The sequence below is a fragment of the Homo sapiens genome, chromosome 1 (assembly GCF_000001405.40).
Source record: "Homo sapiens chromosome 1, GRCh38.p14 Primary Assembly".
In the NCBI taxonomy this organism is placed as follows: domain Eukaryota; kingdom Metazoa; phylum Chordata; class Mammalia; order Primates; family Hominidae; genus Homo; species Homo sapiens.
The window spans coordinates 26,949,357-26,966,011 of record NC_000001.11 but is presented as its reverse complement, the minus strand read 5'-3'; the positions used below and the strand labels follow the sequence as shown (position 1 = coordinate 26,966,011).

General features: G+C 49.0%; 1 protein-coding gene across 3 annotated transcripts, besides 2 other annotated features; it reads left to right on the top strand.

Annotated features, from left to right (window-relative positions):
• Positions 4,260–4,554: a silencer, noted in NCBI's record as "tiled region #5798; K562 Repressive DNase matched - State 20:ReprD". NCBI's record gives its function as "represses a minimal TATA promoter and a strong SV40 promoter by Sharpr-MPRA in K562 cells {active_cell/tissue: K562}" and the evidence as "EXISTENCE:reporter gene assay evidence [ECO:0000049][PMID:27701403]".
• Positions 5,424–6,106: an enhancer, noted in NCBI's record as "H3K27ac-H3K4me1 hESC enhancer chr1:27286397-27287079 (GRCh37/hg19 assembly coordinates)". NCBI's record gives its function as "activates a minimal SCP1, AML or CMV promoter by ChIP-STARR-seq in naive and primed H9 embryonic stem cells {active_cell/tissue: H9 hESC(naive and primed)}" and the evidence as "EXISTENCE:reporter gene assay evidence [ECO:0000049][PMID:30033119]".
• On the top strand, positions 5,544–16,450 carry KDF1 (keratinocyte differentiation factor 1). 3 transcript variants are annotated; one of them, XM_011540622.3, is made up of 4 exons: positions 5,544–5,603; positions 13,600–14,670; positions 15,256–15,330; positions 15,861–16,450. In XM_011540622.3, the coding sequence occupies exons 2-4, from the start codon at positions 13,632–13,634 to the stop codon at positions 15,941–15,943; spliced, it is 1,197 nt and encodes a 398-aa protein (XP_011538924.1). In that variant the 5' UTR covers positions 5,544–5,603; positions 13,600–13,631; the 3' UTR covers positions 15,944–16,450. The 3 variants fall into 3 exon arrangements, with proteins under 3 accessions (XP_011538924.1, NP_689578.2, XP_005245792.1); NM_152365.3 differs by having other exon boundaries at positions 5,544–5,662; XM_005245735.3 differs by lacking the exon at positions 5,544–5,603 and adding an exon at positions 12,059–12,166.
• Positions 16,451–16,655: the final 205 nt, after the last annotated feature.

Sequence of the window (16,655 nt, the reverse complement as noted above, 5' to 3'; positions counted from 1 at the left end):
AAGTGTAAAGGAAAGCGCACAGGAGAGGCAGGTTGTGACCCGGAAAACTCACCCCAGTAGACCTCTCTCTCCTTTGTCGGCTGAATGATGGACCTATAAGGTACTCTGTTTTGCTTCAAAGAGTGTCAATTTTTTGTTTGTTTTTTGTTTGTTTGTTTGTTTGTTTGTTTGTTTTGTAGGGAGGGGGTTGGTTTTGTTATTTTTTGTTTATTTATTTTTATTTACTTATTTATTTTGAGACAGATTTTCGCTCTGGCGTCCAGGCTGGAGTGCAATGGCGCAATCTCACTGCAACCTCCGCCACCTGGGTTCAAGCTACTCTCCTGCCTCAGCCTCCCGATTAGCTGGGATTACAGGCATGAGCCACCACGCCTGGCTAATTTTTTTGTATTTTTACCAGGGACGGGGTTTCACCATGTCAGTCAGGCTGGTCTCGAACTCCTGGCCTCAGGTGATCCGCCCACCTCGGCCTCCCAAAGTGTTGAGATTACAGGGTGAGCCACCGCGCCTGGCTTGTTTTGTTATTTATTTATTTATTTATTTATTTATTTAAAAAATTTTATTTATTTACTTAAATTGACTAATAAAAATTTATTTACTTAAATTGATTAATAAAATTATTAGTATTTTTATTATTGTTTGGTTTTTAATTGTGGGAAAATACTTCTACATAAAATCTGCCATTTAAACTATTTTAAAATATAAATTCAGTGGCATTAATTACATTCACAGTGTTGTGCAACCATCACAACTATCTATTTCCAAAACTTTTTTTTATCACTCCAAACAGAGACTCTGTACCCATTAAGCAGTAACTACCCATTCCCCTCTCCCTCCAGCCCCTGATAACGGCTAACCTTTCTGTCTCTATTAATTTGACTATTCTAGATATTTCATGTAAGTGAGAATCATACAATATTTGTCCTTTGTGTCTGGCTTATTTCACTTAGCATAATGTCTTCAAGGTTCATACCTATTGTTGCATGTGTCAGAACTTCATTGTTTTTATGACTGAATAATATTCCCTTGTACGTATATATCACATTTTGTTCATCCATTCATCTGTTGGGTTGTTTCTACCTTTTGGCTATTGTGAATAATGCTGCAATGAACACTGGCATACAAGTATCTGTTTGAAGCCCTGTTCTGATTATTTTGTGTATGTATCTAGAGTGTCATTGATTTTTTTTGGGTTTTTTTTTTGAGACAGAGTTTTGCTCTTGTCACCTAGGCTGGAGTGCAATGGAGTGTTCTTGGCTCATTGCAACCTCCGCCTCCCAGGTTCAAGCGATTCTCCTGCCTCAGCCTCCTGAGTAGCTGCAATTACAGGCTTCTGCCACCATGCCTGTCTAATTTTTGTATTTTTAGTAGAGACAGGGTTTCACCATGTTGGCCAGGCTGGTCTCAGACTCCCGATCTTAGGTGATCTGCCAGCCTCGGCCTCCCAAAGTGCTAGGATTACAGGCGCCCACTACCACGCCTGGCTAATTTTGTATTTTCAGTAGAGACGGGGTTTCACCATGTTGGCCAGGCTGGTTTCGAACTTCTGATCTCAAGTGATCCACCTGCCTCGGCCTCCCAAAGTGCTAGGATTACAGGCATGAGCCACTGTGCCTGGCCCAAGTGTCATTGATTTTTGACAGACTTTTTGAATACGCACCGTGGCAATGGGAAGGACCCTTCGGAACAGGGCCCAGTATCTTTGAGTGAGGGAGGGAGACGAGCAGAGAAAGGGGAGGTTTCAGTGTGGCTATAATTAGAATAACAGCTACCTTGTGCCTATTGCAAAACTCTTCACAAAACACTCACCAGAAAGCGTAGCCAGAGGTTCAGAGATCATATTTATTTATTTATTTCCTTCCTTCCTTCCTTCCTTCCTTTCTTCCTTTATTCTTTCTAGGCAAGGAAAGTAGCTCTGAGCTGCTTCAGTCATCATATTCTTATTAATCTACAGCATTTTAGGTACCACAGAATTAGAATTTTGTAGAGCAATTCTGCACTTCTACAGCTAAAGTTCTGGAAAAAGCAAAACTATGGAAACAGAAGAAAGATCAGTGGTTGTTAAGGGCTGGAGTCAAGGGGAGGAACTGACCACAGAGGGGTTCAGGGGAATTTCTGGGAGGTGATGGAACTGATCTATATCTTGATTGCTGTGGCAGTTGTGCCATTGTATGCATTTTTCAAAACTCACAAAACTGTACACTAAAAAGGGTGAATTTTACTATAGGTAAATTATACCTTAATTTTTTCTTTTTAAAAAAAGAATGAATAAATAAATGGGGAGAAAACTAAATAATACTTAATACTCCCAGCTACTCGGGAGGCTGAGGTGGGAGGATTCCTTGAACCCAGGAGGCGGAGGCTACTGTGAGCCAAGATCACATCTCTGCACTTCAGACTGGGTGACAAAGTGAGACCCTGTCTCAAACAACAGCAACAACAACAACAACAACAAAAACTAAATAAGAACCTAGGCCAGGCGCAGTGGCTCACGCCTGTAATCCCAGCACTTTGGGAGGTCGACGCAGGCGGATCATTGAGGTCAAGAGATTGAGACCATCCTGGCCAACATGGTGAAACCCTGTCTCTACTAAAAATAAAAAAATTAGCTGGGCATGGTGGTGCACACCTGCAGTCCCAGCTACTTGGGAGGCTGAGGCAGAACTGCTTGAACCCGGGAGGCAGAGGTTGCAGCGAGCCGAGATCGTGCCACTGCACTCCAGCCTGGTGACAAAGCGAGACTCCATCTCAAAAAAATAAAATAAAATAAAATAAAATAAAATAAATAAGACCCTAGGCTCTCATGTGTTTGCGTATCTTGAGAACTTTGCAAGTGACACTAACTCTAATTATTTAGCATTAGAGCATAAACTTCTATTTTTTCATTCATTCATTATAAAATGAAAGCCCCTGAATCCACTATTCACAAAAACCAGAACATTGCTAAAAATTAAATCTACCTATGGGTTTCTCTCCCACAGGTAGATTTAATAGGAGGATCCCTGCATCCTCCCCCAGGTAATTTTGTGTGTGTGTGTGTGTGTGTGTGTGTGTGTGTGTGTGTGTGTGTGGTGTGTTCCAGGCTGGAGGGCAGGGCAGTGGTGTTAATATGGTTCACTGCAGCCTTGACCTCCTGGGCTCAAGCAATCCTCCTGCCACAGCCTCCCAAGTAGCTGGGACCACAGATGCATGACCAGCCTTTTTTTTTTTTTTTTTTTCCTTCCATAGAGACAGGTCCTTCTATGTTGCCCAGGCTGGTCTTGAAGTCCTGGGCTCAACCAAACCTCCCAAATCCTTGGCTTCCCAAAGTGCTGGGATTATAGGCATGAGCCACCATGCCTAGCCCCCCAGGTATTCATTATTCTGAACTTTGTGTTTCTCATTCCCTTGCTCTTTTCTTTCTTTTCTTTTTTGAGATAGGGTCTTGCTATGTTGCCCAGGCTGGTCTTGAACTCCTTGGCTCAAGAGATTCTCTTGCCTCAGCCTCCCAAGTAGCTGGGATTACAGGCCCAGGCTATTGCACCCAACGCCTTGCTCTTTTCTTAGTTTTTTTTCACGTAAAAATTAGGCTGAAGCACATGAATCTGCCATTACTTTTAGATCAAAACAGGTCAAATAACAGCAAATTCATATGGTTCAACCAAATATTATGCTTAGATGCAGTAGTTCTAGTTATTTTTGAATCATATATAAAGGATGTCATTCCATATGTAGTCTTCTGAGATTTGCCTTTTTTCAATCCAATATTATATTACCATGATCCAACCATGTTGCTATTTTTCATTCATTTTCTACTGCTCTATAATTAATTCCTTTGCATGAATATCCCACATTTCTCTATCTCCTGTCAGTAGCATTTCCGTGTTTTCGGTTTGGGGCTACCACAAACAATGTTTCTAGTAACATTCTTGTATACATTCTCTCCTGGTGCATTGCACAAGAGCTTACTGTGGCTGTACCATAGGAATGGACTTGCTAGGTTTTAGAGTACACAGATGTTCAACTGCACAAGATGTGACTGTGAAGTGAGGATGTGACTCATTCTCTGAGCTCCAAATAAGAATACAATGTGCACTTTCCTCAGGAGGGAATGTGGACAAGATGTGGTGGGAGGCGCTGGGATGGAGGGTCTCTGGTGGAAATTGAACACCTATGCCTAATGCATCCCAGTGATATCTTCCTGTTGCATCCATGATCTCTTTTAATCCTCCCAGTTAAAGAGAGGTACTACTATCTCCAGAGATTAGGTTTAGAGAAGGAAAGTGCCTTGCCAAAAGTCAGTTTGTGCCAACTGCCTGAGCAAACAATGTCCCCTCTCTAAGCTTCAGTTTCCTCTTACTGTAAAATGGATATGATAATACCTGACCCACTTCACAGATTAACGGCTTCGGCATGCATGGCTCCTGGAGATGCTCCCTAAAAGTCACTTGTTTGTTTGTTTGTTTTGTTTATTTGAGACAGAGTCTCGCTCTGTCGCCCAGGCTGGAGTGCAATGGCGCGATCTCGGCTCACTGCAACCTCTGCCTGCTGGGTTCAAGCCATTCTCCTGCCTCAGCCTCCCGAGTAGCTGGGATTACAGGCACTTGCTACCATGCTAGGCTAATTTTTTGTATTTTTAGTAGAGACTGGGTTTCACTATGTTGGCCAGGCTGGTCTCAAACTCCCACCTCGCGATCCTCCCGCCTCGGCCTCCCAAAGTGCTGGGATTACAGGCATGAGCCACTGCGCCCGGCCAAGTCACTTGTTTATTAATGCTATTGTTAAGTTATTGAGTTGTTATTAATATTAAGGGGAACAGTAACCCAGAATAGTCTGAGCCTTGCCTTATTGACATTCAATGGTGTTGCCTCTTGCAGAGACCTTTTTTGGATGTAGTGACCATGGCCCATTTTGGCCACCACTTCTGATCCTGGATGTATCTTTCAGAGCTGCATATCCGGTCCCCCTCCTCTACCCTACTCGGGGCCTCAGAGCTGAGGTTCCTGTCTTTACCTGCAGATTTCTCTGAACAAAAGAAAAGGTAAACTGATCAGCGGCCCAGGCTCCCAGTTCTGCCTCAGGGCAAAGGGAGAAATTGGGGCCCAGGGCCTCATTCAGTGGAAAATATTTGTTGAACACCTAGTATGTGCCAGGACCTGTGCTGAGCACCAGGAACACAGGGGAACAAGACCAAACCCTGCAAGGTAGGAGGCTAAAGGAGGAGACAGAAGACAACAAAACGACAGTGTGCTGAGTACAGGGACTGTTCTAACCAACAGAAAAACAGACAGGATCAGGGAAAGCTTCCCAGAAGAGAGCTTCCCTTTGAGTTGGAGCTTTACGGCCGGGCAGAAGTTCCACAGGTGCTCAGAGACTGACAGGACCACCAGCCTGTTGAACAGAAGAGGAGACTGAGCCCCAGCGCCTCTCGACCCCTCCCCGCCACACCTCACCTACCCGGACTAGGCTGAACGGGCCGAGCACTCGAGCGGGGACGCGCAGCTCTGCAGAGCCCCGGGGCGGGGCCTCGGTCCAGGTGCGCGGTAGCGCTTCGCGGAGGCAGGAAGTGTGTCCCTAGCGGCGGCCCGTGCAGCGCTCCCGCGAGACGCTCACCTGCGCCCCAGGTGAGCGGCGAGGGGGCGGGGGAGGGGCTGAGCCGGAGGCGGCTCACCTGGCGGGACAGGTAAGCCCGGCGCGGGCCCAGGGGGGCGCAAGCCAGGGCGGCGCCGGTGTCGGGAGCCCCCCGAAGCTGAGCCCGGACAGGAGAGGGTCCCGGGCCCGGTTCCTCGGGGGCCACCCTCCTACTTCCGGGGTGCGCGGGCCGGGCTGGGGAGCGGCCTGAGCGGGCGCCCGGGCTGGGCGCGCAGAATGGGGTGAGGGGCCGCGTTCGCCCTTAGGGCTGCACTGGCTGGGTGCGGGGGCCGCACTCACCGGGGGGCAGCGTCGGGATGGGACAAACGCTGGTGCTCACCCCGAGGAACAGCGTCGGGACGGGAGGGAGGCTGGGTCCGCCCGCGGGGTAGGGCCCTTGCAGCTGGAGAGGGTAGTGCTCGCCCCGAGGGCAGAGTTGGTGTAGGGGCTGTGGTAGCCCGGGGGACAGTGCCAGGATCTGGTTCTTCCTTGTCCCCAGGACTAGCTGCCCGCGGATATGGGACTCTCGGGCTGCACCTTTGGGGCAGGAGGCCGAGGGTGCACTGAGCCGACGGCTGTTTCTCGAGCAGGACTGGGGTGGTCCTCCCCGGCCGGGTGTCCGAGGCTTGGCACTGGGCTGGGGGCAGAGGCTGGTGCGGCCGGGCCTGTCCTGGGGACCCTCGGAGGAGGGGACGGTACATAGACCCTTGAGTGTGTGTGTGTGTTCGCGGGACTAAGGGGGAAGAGGAAAGCATCAACGAGAAATCCAGGGAGGGCGGGCCGGGACCCTCTGACCCCCGGGAACATCCTTGCGGTGCCTTAGATCGCCTAGTGACCTAGCCCCTCCCATGGGCAAGGCCACTGCGGGAAGCCCCCTGCACTCAATATTTCATTTAAATCTCACGGGATTGGCGGGGCATGAAGATACTAGTCTCTCCTTATTTAAAGATGAGGAAAGTGAGGTTAAGAATCTTGCCTCAAGCCACAATAGGGACAGGGAGTCTCCCCTCACTAAACCAAGTGACCAGGTTCCTAGGATTGGGCGGGGTGGTGGCGGGGCGGTGGCAGCAGGGTCGGGGAGATACAGCCTGGAAGAAACTGCCTGAGTTTGACTTCAGGAGGGTTCAATGGCTGGAGGGAAGTGGGGAACTGAGGCAGGCATTGTCCTTATCCCAGGTCTTCTCTTCTCATCCCACCACCGCTGGAGATGTGTGGCACACACAAAGTACGCAGGCTTCAGAGCCTGGCGGGCCACAGTGCAAATCTTACTCCAGCCCTCTCTTGCTAGGTGTCTCTGGGCCAGTCACTTCACCTTTCTGAGCTTCAGATTCCTGATCTGTGAAATGGAGATATACTACTTATTTTCAGAGCAATTGTGAGAGTCAAATAAGGTGAAAGTCCTCTGGCCCATTCACTGCTGTTTTCTCAGCATTTAGCACAACGCTGGGCACCTCGTTGTATTAATTTAATCAATAATAGAGAGTCCTAAAGCTTTGGAGGTTGGGGAGAAGACAATAGCCAGTCCATCCTCAGGAGCCCCACGTACTTCCGAGCTCAGCATGGTTAACTGTAGATCTGTCCACTCTCCTGAAGGCTTGAGCCTGGAAGACAGGGCTCCCAACATGGGCTCTCTCTGGGCACACGCTGGTCCATGGAGCTGGCAGCTTTGACTGCCTCTTTTCTCCCAAGTAATAGATGGGATGGGGTAGTGGATAAGAGTCTGGGGCCAGGCCAATTGTGTACAGATAGATGTATGGCTTTGGACAACTTATTTAACCTGTCTGTGCTTTAGTATAATAATACAGGTAATAATATTACAAAGAGGGTTGTGAAAATTAATTGGTTATTATGTCTGAAGTACTTAGAACAGTGTAAGCCATCAATAATCAACTCTCACTGGATTGTAAACTCCTGAGGTTGAGGGATTTTGTCTGTTTTATCACTTTATCCATAGAATTTAGAACAGCTAGGCCGGGCGCGGTGGCTCACGCCTGTAATCCCAGTACTTTGAGAGGCCGAGGTGGGTGGATCACGAGGTCAGGAGATCAGACCATCCTGACTAACATGGTGAAACCCCATCTCTACTAAAAATACAAAAAATTAGCCAGGCGTGGCACGCGCCTGTAGTCCCAGCCACTCAGGAGGCTGAGGCAGGAGAATCGCTTGCACCCGGGAGGCAGAGGTTGCAGTGAGCCAAGACCACGCCACTGCACTCCACTCCAGACTGGGCAACAGAGTGAGACTCCATCTCAAAAAAAAAAAAAAAAAAAAGAATTTAGAACAGCTGGCTGGGCGCGGTGGCTTATGCCTGTAATGTCAGCACTTTGGGAGGCTGAGGCAGGTGGATACTTGAGGTCAGGAGTTCGAGACCAGCCTGGCCAACATGGTGAAACCCCATCTCTATTAAAAATACAAAAAAATTAGCTGGGTGTGGTGGCATGCACCTGTAATTCCAGCTACTCAGGAGGCTGAGGCATGAGAATTGCCTCCACCTGGGAGGCAGAGGTTGCAGTGAGCCAAGATCGTGCCATGCACTCCAGCGTTGGTGACAGAGTAAGACTGTCTCAAATAATAATAATAATAATAATAAATCCAGCATGTGGCACACAGTGGGCCCTCAGTAAATATCTGTTAATTGCGTGAATGTGTGAATCCATACCCCACATTTCTCAAACTAAAGCAAAGATTTTTAACCACTTAGCTCAGATTGCAAGGGAATTTAAAATCACCTGTTAGAATTTTATTTGGGATACCGTTGCAGATGGGATTTCACTCTCTCCCTCACCTCCTATCCCCCATCCATACTCTGGTCAACGTAGAGCCTAAGTCTTTTTTTCTTTGTACCCAGTGGCGCTGGTTCTACCCTGAGGCAACCTGAAATCTGTCAGTCCCCTGAGGCACCTAGTGTACCAAACCCTGTTCCAGACCCTGAGGCAGAAAAGAATTACACACAGTCCCTGCACTTCAGGGTCATGGTCCTTGGGGACATAGACTTATCCTCAAACAATCAGTACAAGGCTGACCCAGCTGACAGCCCAGCAGAAGGCCATGGGGAGAGGGCCTCCCATCTGACTAGTGGTTCCAGAAGGTCCCTGGAGAAGGAGTGCTGAGTAAGGCCAGGAGAGTAGGTTAAAGAGTTGTAGGAATGGTTAAAGAACTGTATCCTAGGCCAGGCACAGAGGCTCATGCCTGTAATCCCAGCACTTTGGGAGGCCAGGGCAGGAGATCACTTGAGGCCAGGAATTCAAGACCACCTGAGCAACATAGCAAGATCCCATTTCTACCAAAAAACAAAACAAAACAAAAAACTAGTGGGGCAGGGTGGTATGCACCTATAGTCCTAGCTACTCAAGTGGCTGAGGCAGGAGGATCACTTGAGCCCTGTTGTTTGAGGCTTCATTGAGCTAGGGTTGCACCACTGCACTCCAATCTGGGTAACAGAGGGAGACCTTATCTCTAAAAATAAAATAAAATAAATAAAAGAACTGTATCCTTCACATCCCCATTTACCATGGGCAACATTCCCTCTTTCCCTTTCTCTACACACACATAACTTTTGTTCTTTTGTGTTTGAACCATTTGAGATTAGGTTGCAGATAATCCTGCCCCTTTATCCCCAAGTGCTTCAATGTATGTTTCCTAAGAATAGAACATTATCTTATATAACCACAGTAATCAAATTCAGAAAATGTAACATTGATATAATACTATCAAATAACATATTTCACCAGTTATTCACATTATCCAATTTCCAATTTTTTCCTCCCAATCCAGGATCCTTTCTAGGATCACACTGCATTTAGTTGTCATGTTTCTCAACTTGGGCTTGTCTATTATTTCCTCATTATTACATTCAGGTTATGCATTTTTGACAGGAATACTTCGTGAGTTGTATCCTCCTTAGTACATAGTATCAGGAGGAACTTGATGTCAATTCATCCCATTATGGTGATATTATCTTTGATCATTTGATTAAAGTGGTGTCTGCCGTGTTCCTCTAAACATTTTAAAGTTTTTACTTGCTACAGCAAGTAAGAGGGAATGGAAGTGGCCAGAATGGCGGCTGTGACAGTATTTGGGTGAGAGATAATGATGGCCCTCTTTAGGGAGGTGGCATTAATTTTCCCAAGTGCCAAATCTGGGGTTAGATTAGGGCCAGAACTGGAACTAAAACACAGATATCCCGATGCCCAGTTCCACATTCCTCACACACCCCCGGTTTAAGACCCCAGTGCCATTAATTCAGGAATAAAAGGATAAGGGATCAGTGTCTCAGAAAATCCAAGCTAAGGATAGTTACTGCCTGGCAAACCCCTACATGAGATCAAGGACCTTCCCAAATACACTACTGCATAATCTTCCTTGACTCTGTCAGGCAGAGTTATTTACTCCCATGATGCTTCATATATCCTACATGCTCCATCTTACAAACTTTGTTTGTTTGTTTGAGATGGAGTCTCACTCTGTTGCATAGGCTGGAGTGCAGTGGTGCGATCTGGGCTCACTGCAACCTCCGCCTCCCAAGTTCAAGCGATTCTCCTGCCTCAGCCTCCTGCATAGCTGGGATTACAGGCACGCTCCACCACGCCCAGCTAATTTTTGTATTTTTAGTAGAGACAGGGTTTCACCATGTTGGTCAGGCTGGTCTCGAAATCCTGACCTCGTGATCCACCCGCCTCAGCCTCCCAAAGTGCTGGGATTACCGGCATGAGCCACTGTGCCCGGCCCTCATCTTACAAACTTTTAAGCATCTGTTTTCCCTGCAAAACCATATGTGAATCATCAAGAACAGGATCTGTAATTCATTCATCTTTGGTTCTACGGTACCCAGCACAGGGCCAGCCTCAGTGTTTATGAAGTAAAGGAAGTCCTAGCTCTGAGCTTCCTAGCAACCAGGTCAGAATGGGAAAGAAGACATATTTTGTGGCTCAGCTTTTTTATCTAATCAAAGGACACCAACAGTGGTTGGTGTTAAATGTTGCTAGCAGGGCAAATGTGAGTAAGACTGAAATATTGACAGACCTTGTAAATTCCCATATCTGATTTGAAGGACCAGGAGAGGGAAAAAGGTATTAATGATCAGGTTCCATAGCAAGTCTTATGGAAAGGCATTTGTTGAGCAGCCACAGAGGCTCTCAACAAGAAAAACTTACCAACAGCAGGAAGAAACTGGGGGAAACCACTTCACAGAAAGTGAGATCCAGGAGATCTTTCTGTAAAATAGCTATAAAAGTTACCATAGTAGGCTGGGTGCAGTGGCTCATGCCTGTAATCCCAGCACTTTGGGAGGTTGAGGTGGGCAGATCACCTGAGGTCAGGAGTTCGAGACCAGCCTGGCCAACATGGCGAAACCCCATCTCTACTAAAAATGCAAAAATTAGCTGGGCGTGGTAGCGGACGTCTGTAATCCCAGCTACTCCGAGGCTGAGGCAAGAGAATCACTTGAACCTGGGAGGCAGAGGTTGCAGTGAGCCGAGAATGCGCCATTGCACTCCAGCCTGGGTGACAGAGCGAGACTCCATCTCAAAAAAAAAAAAGGTAACTTATTAACTTTTTTTTTTTTTTTGAGACAGAGTCTTGCCACTCTGTCACCCAGGCTGGAGTGCAATGGCGCCATCTCGGCTCACTTCAACTTCTGCCTCCTGAGTTCAAGCGATTCTCCTGCCTCAGCCTCCTCAGTAGCTGAGATTACACGTGCCCATCACCATACCTAGCTAATTTTTGTATTTTTAGTAAAGACAGGATTTCACCATGTTGGCCATACTGGTCTAGAACTCCTGACCTCAAATCATCCGCCCACCTCAGCCGCCCAAAGTGCTGGGATTACAGGCATTAGCCACTGCGCCTGGCCTAACCTTTTTTTAAAGAAACCACATTTGGCCAGGCGCAGTGGCTCATTCCTGTAATTTCAGTACTTTGGGAGGCTGAGGTGGGGAGATCACCTGAGGTCAGCAGTTTGAGACCAGCCTAGCCAACATGGTGAAATCCTGTCTCTACTAAAAATACAAAACTTAGCTGGGCGTGGTGGCACGTGCCTGTAATCCCAGCTACTTGGGAGGCTGAGGCAAGAGAATCACTTGAACCCAGGAGGCAGAGGTTGTAGTGAGCCGAGATGGTACCACTGTACTCCAGCCTCAGTAACGGAGTGAGACTCCGTTTCAAAAAAAAAAAAAAAAACATATTTAAGCATCATTCCCATATTTAAGCATCATTCCTGTGGCATTAAATACATTCACATTGTTGTACAACTATTGCCACCATCCATCTCCAGACCTTTTTCATCTACCCCAGCTGAAACTCCCTACCCATTCAACACTAACTCCCCAGTCCCCTCTGCCCCCAGCACCAGGCAACTACCATTCTACTTTGTGTCTCTATGAATTTGACTATTCTAGAGATGTCATATAAGTGGAATCTTACAATATTTGTCTTTTTTTTTTTTTTTTTGAGACAGGGTCTGGCTTTGTTGCCCAGGCTGGAGTGCAATGGCACGATCTCAGCTCACTGCAACCTCCACCTCCAAGGCTCAAGTGGTCCTCCCACCTCAGTCCCCCAGGTAACTAGGACTACAGGTGTGCACCACCACGCCCAGCTAATTTTTGTATTTTCAGTAGGGATGGGCTTTCACCATGTTGGCCAGGCTGGTCTTGAACTCCTGCGCTCAAGTGATCCACCCATCCCAGCCTCCCAAATTGCTGGGATCACAGGCATGAGCCACCGCACCCGGGCTATTTGTCCTTTTGTGTCTGGCTTATTTCACTTAGCATAAGTTCTTCAAGGTTCATCCATGTTGCAGCATGTATAAGAATTTCCTTTCCTTTTTAAGGCTGAGTAATATTCCATTGTATGTATATACCACATTTTGTTTAGTCATTCATCCATTGGTAGACACTGGGATTGTTTCCACCTTTTGGCTATTGTGAATAATGCTGCTGTGAACATTGTCTAAACATCTGAGTCCCTGCTCTCAATTAGATTGGGTATGTACCCAGAAGTGGAATTGCTGGGTCGTGTGGTAATTCGATGTTTAATTTTTGGAGGAACCACCGTACTGTTTTCCATAGCAGCTGCACCATTTTACATTCCCACCAGAAATGCACAAGGGTTCCAGTTTTTCCACATTATTGCCAACACTCATTATTTTCTGGGAGAAGGGAGATTATTTTTAAATACAGATTGAGAGATTGAGTATCCCTAATCCAAAAATCCAAAACACTCCAAAATCTGAAAGTTGAGCACCAGCATGATACTTAAAGGAATGCTCATTGGAGCATTTCAGATTTTTGGATGAGGAATGCTTAACAGGTAAGTATAATGTATACAATCCACAATTCAGAATCCAAAACATTTCTGGACCCAAGCATTTCAGATAAGATGTTCAACCTTTCTTTTTTTCTTTTTCTTTCTTTTTTTTTTTTGAGACACAGTCTCGCCCTGTTGCCCAGGCTGGAGTGCAATGGCGTGATCTTGGCTCACTGCAACCTCTGCCACCCGGGTTCAAGCGATTCTCCTGCCTCAGCCTCCCAAGTAGCTGGGATTACAGGCACCCACCACTATACCTGGCTAATTTTTTTTGTATTTTTAGTAGAGACGGAGTTTCACCATGTTAGTCAGGTTGGTCTCGAACTCCTGACCTCAGGTGATCTGCCTGCCTCGGCCTCCCAAAGTGCTGGGATTACAGGCGTGAGCCACCACGCCCGGCCAATGTTCAACCTTTCATAGCCATCCCAATAGGTCTAAGTCACAGGGAATTTTGAAATCTGGGTTAGACCACAGAGACTTTCTCTTTGTGGAGGGAGGGCCACAAGAGATAAGGGTTTTTGGGCATACTTGGGTCCATCCACATCCCAGGCAAGGGTTTTTGGGCATACTTGGGTCCATCCACATCCCAGGCCTCTCAGAAACTAGAAATGTGAAGCTGCTCAAGTCAGCCCAGGAGTTTGTCCCTCACCTCTGATCCTGACTCCTTCCTGGCCTCTCCCCACGCAGGTGCCTGGCTGCTACAAACCATGCAATGAGCCATGCCCCGCCCTGGACACCCCCGCCCAGCATCTGGGCCTCCACGCTTGGGACCGTGGGAGCGGCCAACAGAGCTATGTCTGGAGACATATGATAAACCACCTCAGCCCCCACCAAGCCGCCGCACCCGTAGACCAGACCCCAAGGACCCTGGCCACCATGGGCCAGAGAGCATTACCTTCATCTCTGGCTCTGCTGAGCCGGCCCTTGAGTCCCCCACCTGCTGCCTGCTCTGGCGACCCTGGGTGTGGGAGTGGTGCCGGGCTGCCTTCTGCTTCCGCCGCTGCCGGGATTGCCTCCAGCGCTGTGGAGCCTGTGTGCGGGGATGCAGCCCCTGCCTGTCTACTGAGGACTCCACTGAGGGGACTGCTGAAGCCAACTGGGCCAAGGAGCACAATGGAGTGCCCCCCAGCCCTGATCGTGCACCCCCCAGCCGGCGGGATGGCCAGCGGCTCAAGTCAACCATGGGCAGCAGCTTCAGCTACCCCGATGTTAAGCTCAAAGGCATCCCTGTGTATCCCTACCCGAGGGCCACCTCCCCAGCCCCTGATGCGGACTCCTGCTGCAAGGAGCCACTGGCCGATCCCCCACCCATGCGACACAGCCTGCCCAGCACCTTTGCCAGTAGTCCTCGTGGCTCCGAGGAGTACTATTCTTTCCATGAGTCGGACCTGGACCTGCCGGAGATGGGCAGTGGCTCCATGTCGAGCCGAGAAATTGATGTGCTCATCTTCAAGAAGCTGACAGAGCTGTTCAGCGTACACCAGATCGATGAGCTGGCCAAGTGCACATCAGACACTGTGTTCCTGGAGAAGACCAGTAAGATCTCGGACCTTATCAGCAGCATCACGCAGGACTACCACCTGGATGAGCAGGATGCTGAGGGCCGCCTGGTACGCGGCATCATTCGCATTAGTACCCGAAAGAGCCGTGCTCGCCCACAGACCTCGGAGGGTCGTTCAACTCGGGCTGCTGCCCCAACCGCTGCTGCCCCTGACAGTGGCCATGAGACCATGGTGGGCTCAGGTCTCAGCCAGGATGGTAGGTGGGGGCCCCATGGGGCTGAGGGGCAGAGTAGGGGAGGCTCTGGCCAGGGGAGGGTTGGAATGGGGTCTTTAGTCACTGTGGGTCTACCCCTCAGCCAGTCCCTGCCTTTCCTCCTCCTTTCTGTCAACTCTTGCATCCCCTCTCCCCAGCTCCCACTCTGGCCCTTCCTGGTGAGGTCCGAGCAAGGCTGAGAGAAGCATGCAGACCCTGGGAGAGCTCTCTGGCCATCGCTGCTGTCCCCAGAAAGGTCAAGGTTCCCTCTGCATTCAACAAGTTTACCCAAAAGGCTCCTCTCCTCTGCTGTCTCCTGCCAGAGTAGCTTCTAGGCCTGGTCTGGTGAACAGGACCTAGGGACCCACATGAATTTGGGCCTCTGACCTGTTCTGGGCTAACCAAAACTCCCACTCATCCATCACTCTGCGCATGCACACGTTGTCTATGTCTCTGTCTTTAAGCATTATTTTTCTAGCCCTGCCCAGGAGTGAGTGGCTCCTCCCTCATCGGGCTGGGAACAGAAGTAGGAAATAGGGTTGAAAGAACGTGCTAATGACCACTGCTTGCCTCACGTTCCCTCCCTAGAGCTGACAGTGCAGATCTCCCAGGAGACGACTGCAGATGCCATCGCCCGGAAGCTGAGGCCTTATGGAGCTCCAGGTGTGGTCTTGACCTAATGAGGGGTGTGGAGGGTGGGGGACTACCCTAGGGGCCCCTCACCTGCTGCTCTCCCAGCTTTCTTTTGGGGTGATGAGGATGACATCAAAAAGGGACGGGGACCTAAGCAGCCACAGACCTGTCTCCATCTAGCAAGCTGGCTTAAAGTGGGTGCAGGTGCCCAGAACAGGCAAGCTGAAAGTGATCAGACCCCAACCTTCAAGCCCAGATGACTAGGAAAGTAGTGGGTGGGGAGCCATCCAGCATGGTGCTGGAAAGACACCCGTGTGGTTCTGTTGCGGTCTTCTTGCCCTTGACAACAACCCCCTGGGAGTGGAATCATTATCCTTTTACAGAAAGGGAGGCTAGGGCTCAGAGAGGTCAATAAACTGAGTGGGTCATCCAGCCAGGATCAGACTGACCCAGGCTCAAGTCCCACTCTGCTCCTTCTCAGCAGGCTTCTCCCTGGTCATGGGATCTGGATGAGCTCCTTCCCCTGAGCCTGTTTCCTCCTCTCCTCTCCTTCCTACCAGGGTACCCAGCAAGCCATGACTCATCCTTCCAGGGCACCGACACAGACTCGTCGGGGGCACCCTTGCTCCAGGTGTACTGCTAACCCCTGCCAGGCCCAGCTGCCACACCCTTTCTGGGAGAAGCATGGCCTACAGAATGAAGAGGGGGACCAGGAACCCCTGTGGGAGAGGCTTAGACCTGAAGCAGTGCCCACTCTGGCTCCTCCTGCCTTGGCTGACTGGGTTCCTGGACCATGTGCATTTCACTGGGCCATGGGATCTACATCTCCTTGCATCCCCAGCTGGTCTGATCCCTGCCAGGGCCCCTTCCTTCCTGCTCATGGTCTTCAGGTGGCCTGATCATGGAAAGTAAGGAGTTAGGCATTACCTTCTGGGAGTGAACCCTGACTCCATCCCCCTATTGCCACCCTAACCAATCATGCAAACTTCTCCCTCCCTGGGGTAATTCAACAGTTAAAAGAAGCTTATCTTAAATGTATTGTATTGGGGGGTGGGCAGGGCCCACTCTATGTTATGTTAAGGAGTTGGTTCTGGTTCTTGGCTGATGTTCTGTATCTTAACATGACCACAGTTTGTAAGTACAAAGGTAATTGGTATCTGCCTGCTTTCTTGGCTGTCCTTTCTCTCCCATCTGCCTCACTTAACTGCTGCCCAGAGCAGGAGACAGGATATGTGTCCAGCCTGGCTTAGTGCCCTGCAGTTAAAGTAGGAAGGATAAAATGGGAGTAATGCTGCCCCCATTTCAGGTTCACTGTGAGTTCCAGGAGATAAAGAACCAAGCACAGAGTCTGTGCC

What these genes read in the sequence shown, in the direction of transcription:
- KDF1 (XM_011540622.3), top strand. Translation starts at nt 13,632, where the DNA reads ATGCCCCGCCCTGGACACCCCCGCCCAGCATCTGGGCCTCCACGCTTG. An exon ending in CTCAGGTCTCAGCCAGGATG is followed by an intron (nt 14,671 to 15,255) that starts GTAGGTGGGGGC and finishes TTCCCTCCCTAG; the next exon opens with AGCTGACAGTGCAGATCTCC. An exon ending in GAGGCCTTATGGAGCTCCAG is followed by an intron (nt 15,331 to 15,860) that starts GTGTGGTCTTGA and finishes CCTTCCTACCAG; the next exon opens with GGTACCCAGCAAGCCATGAC.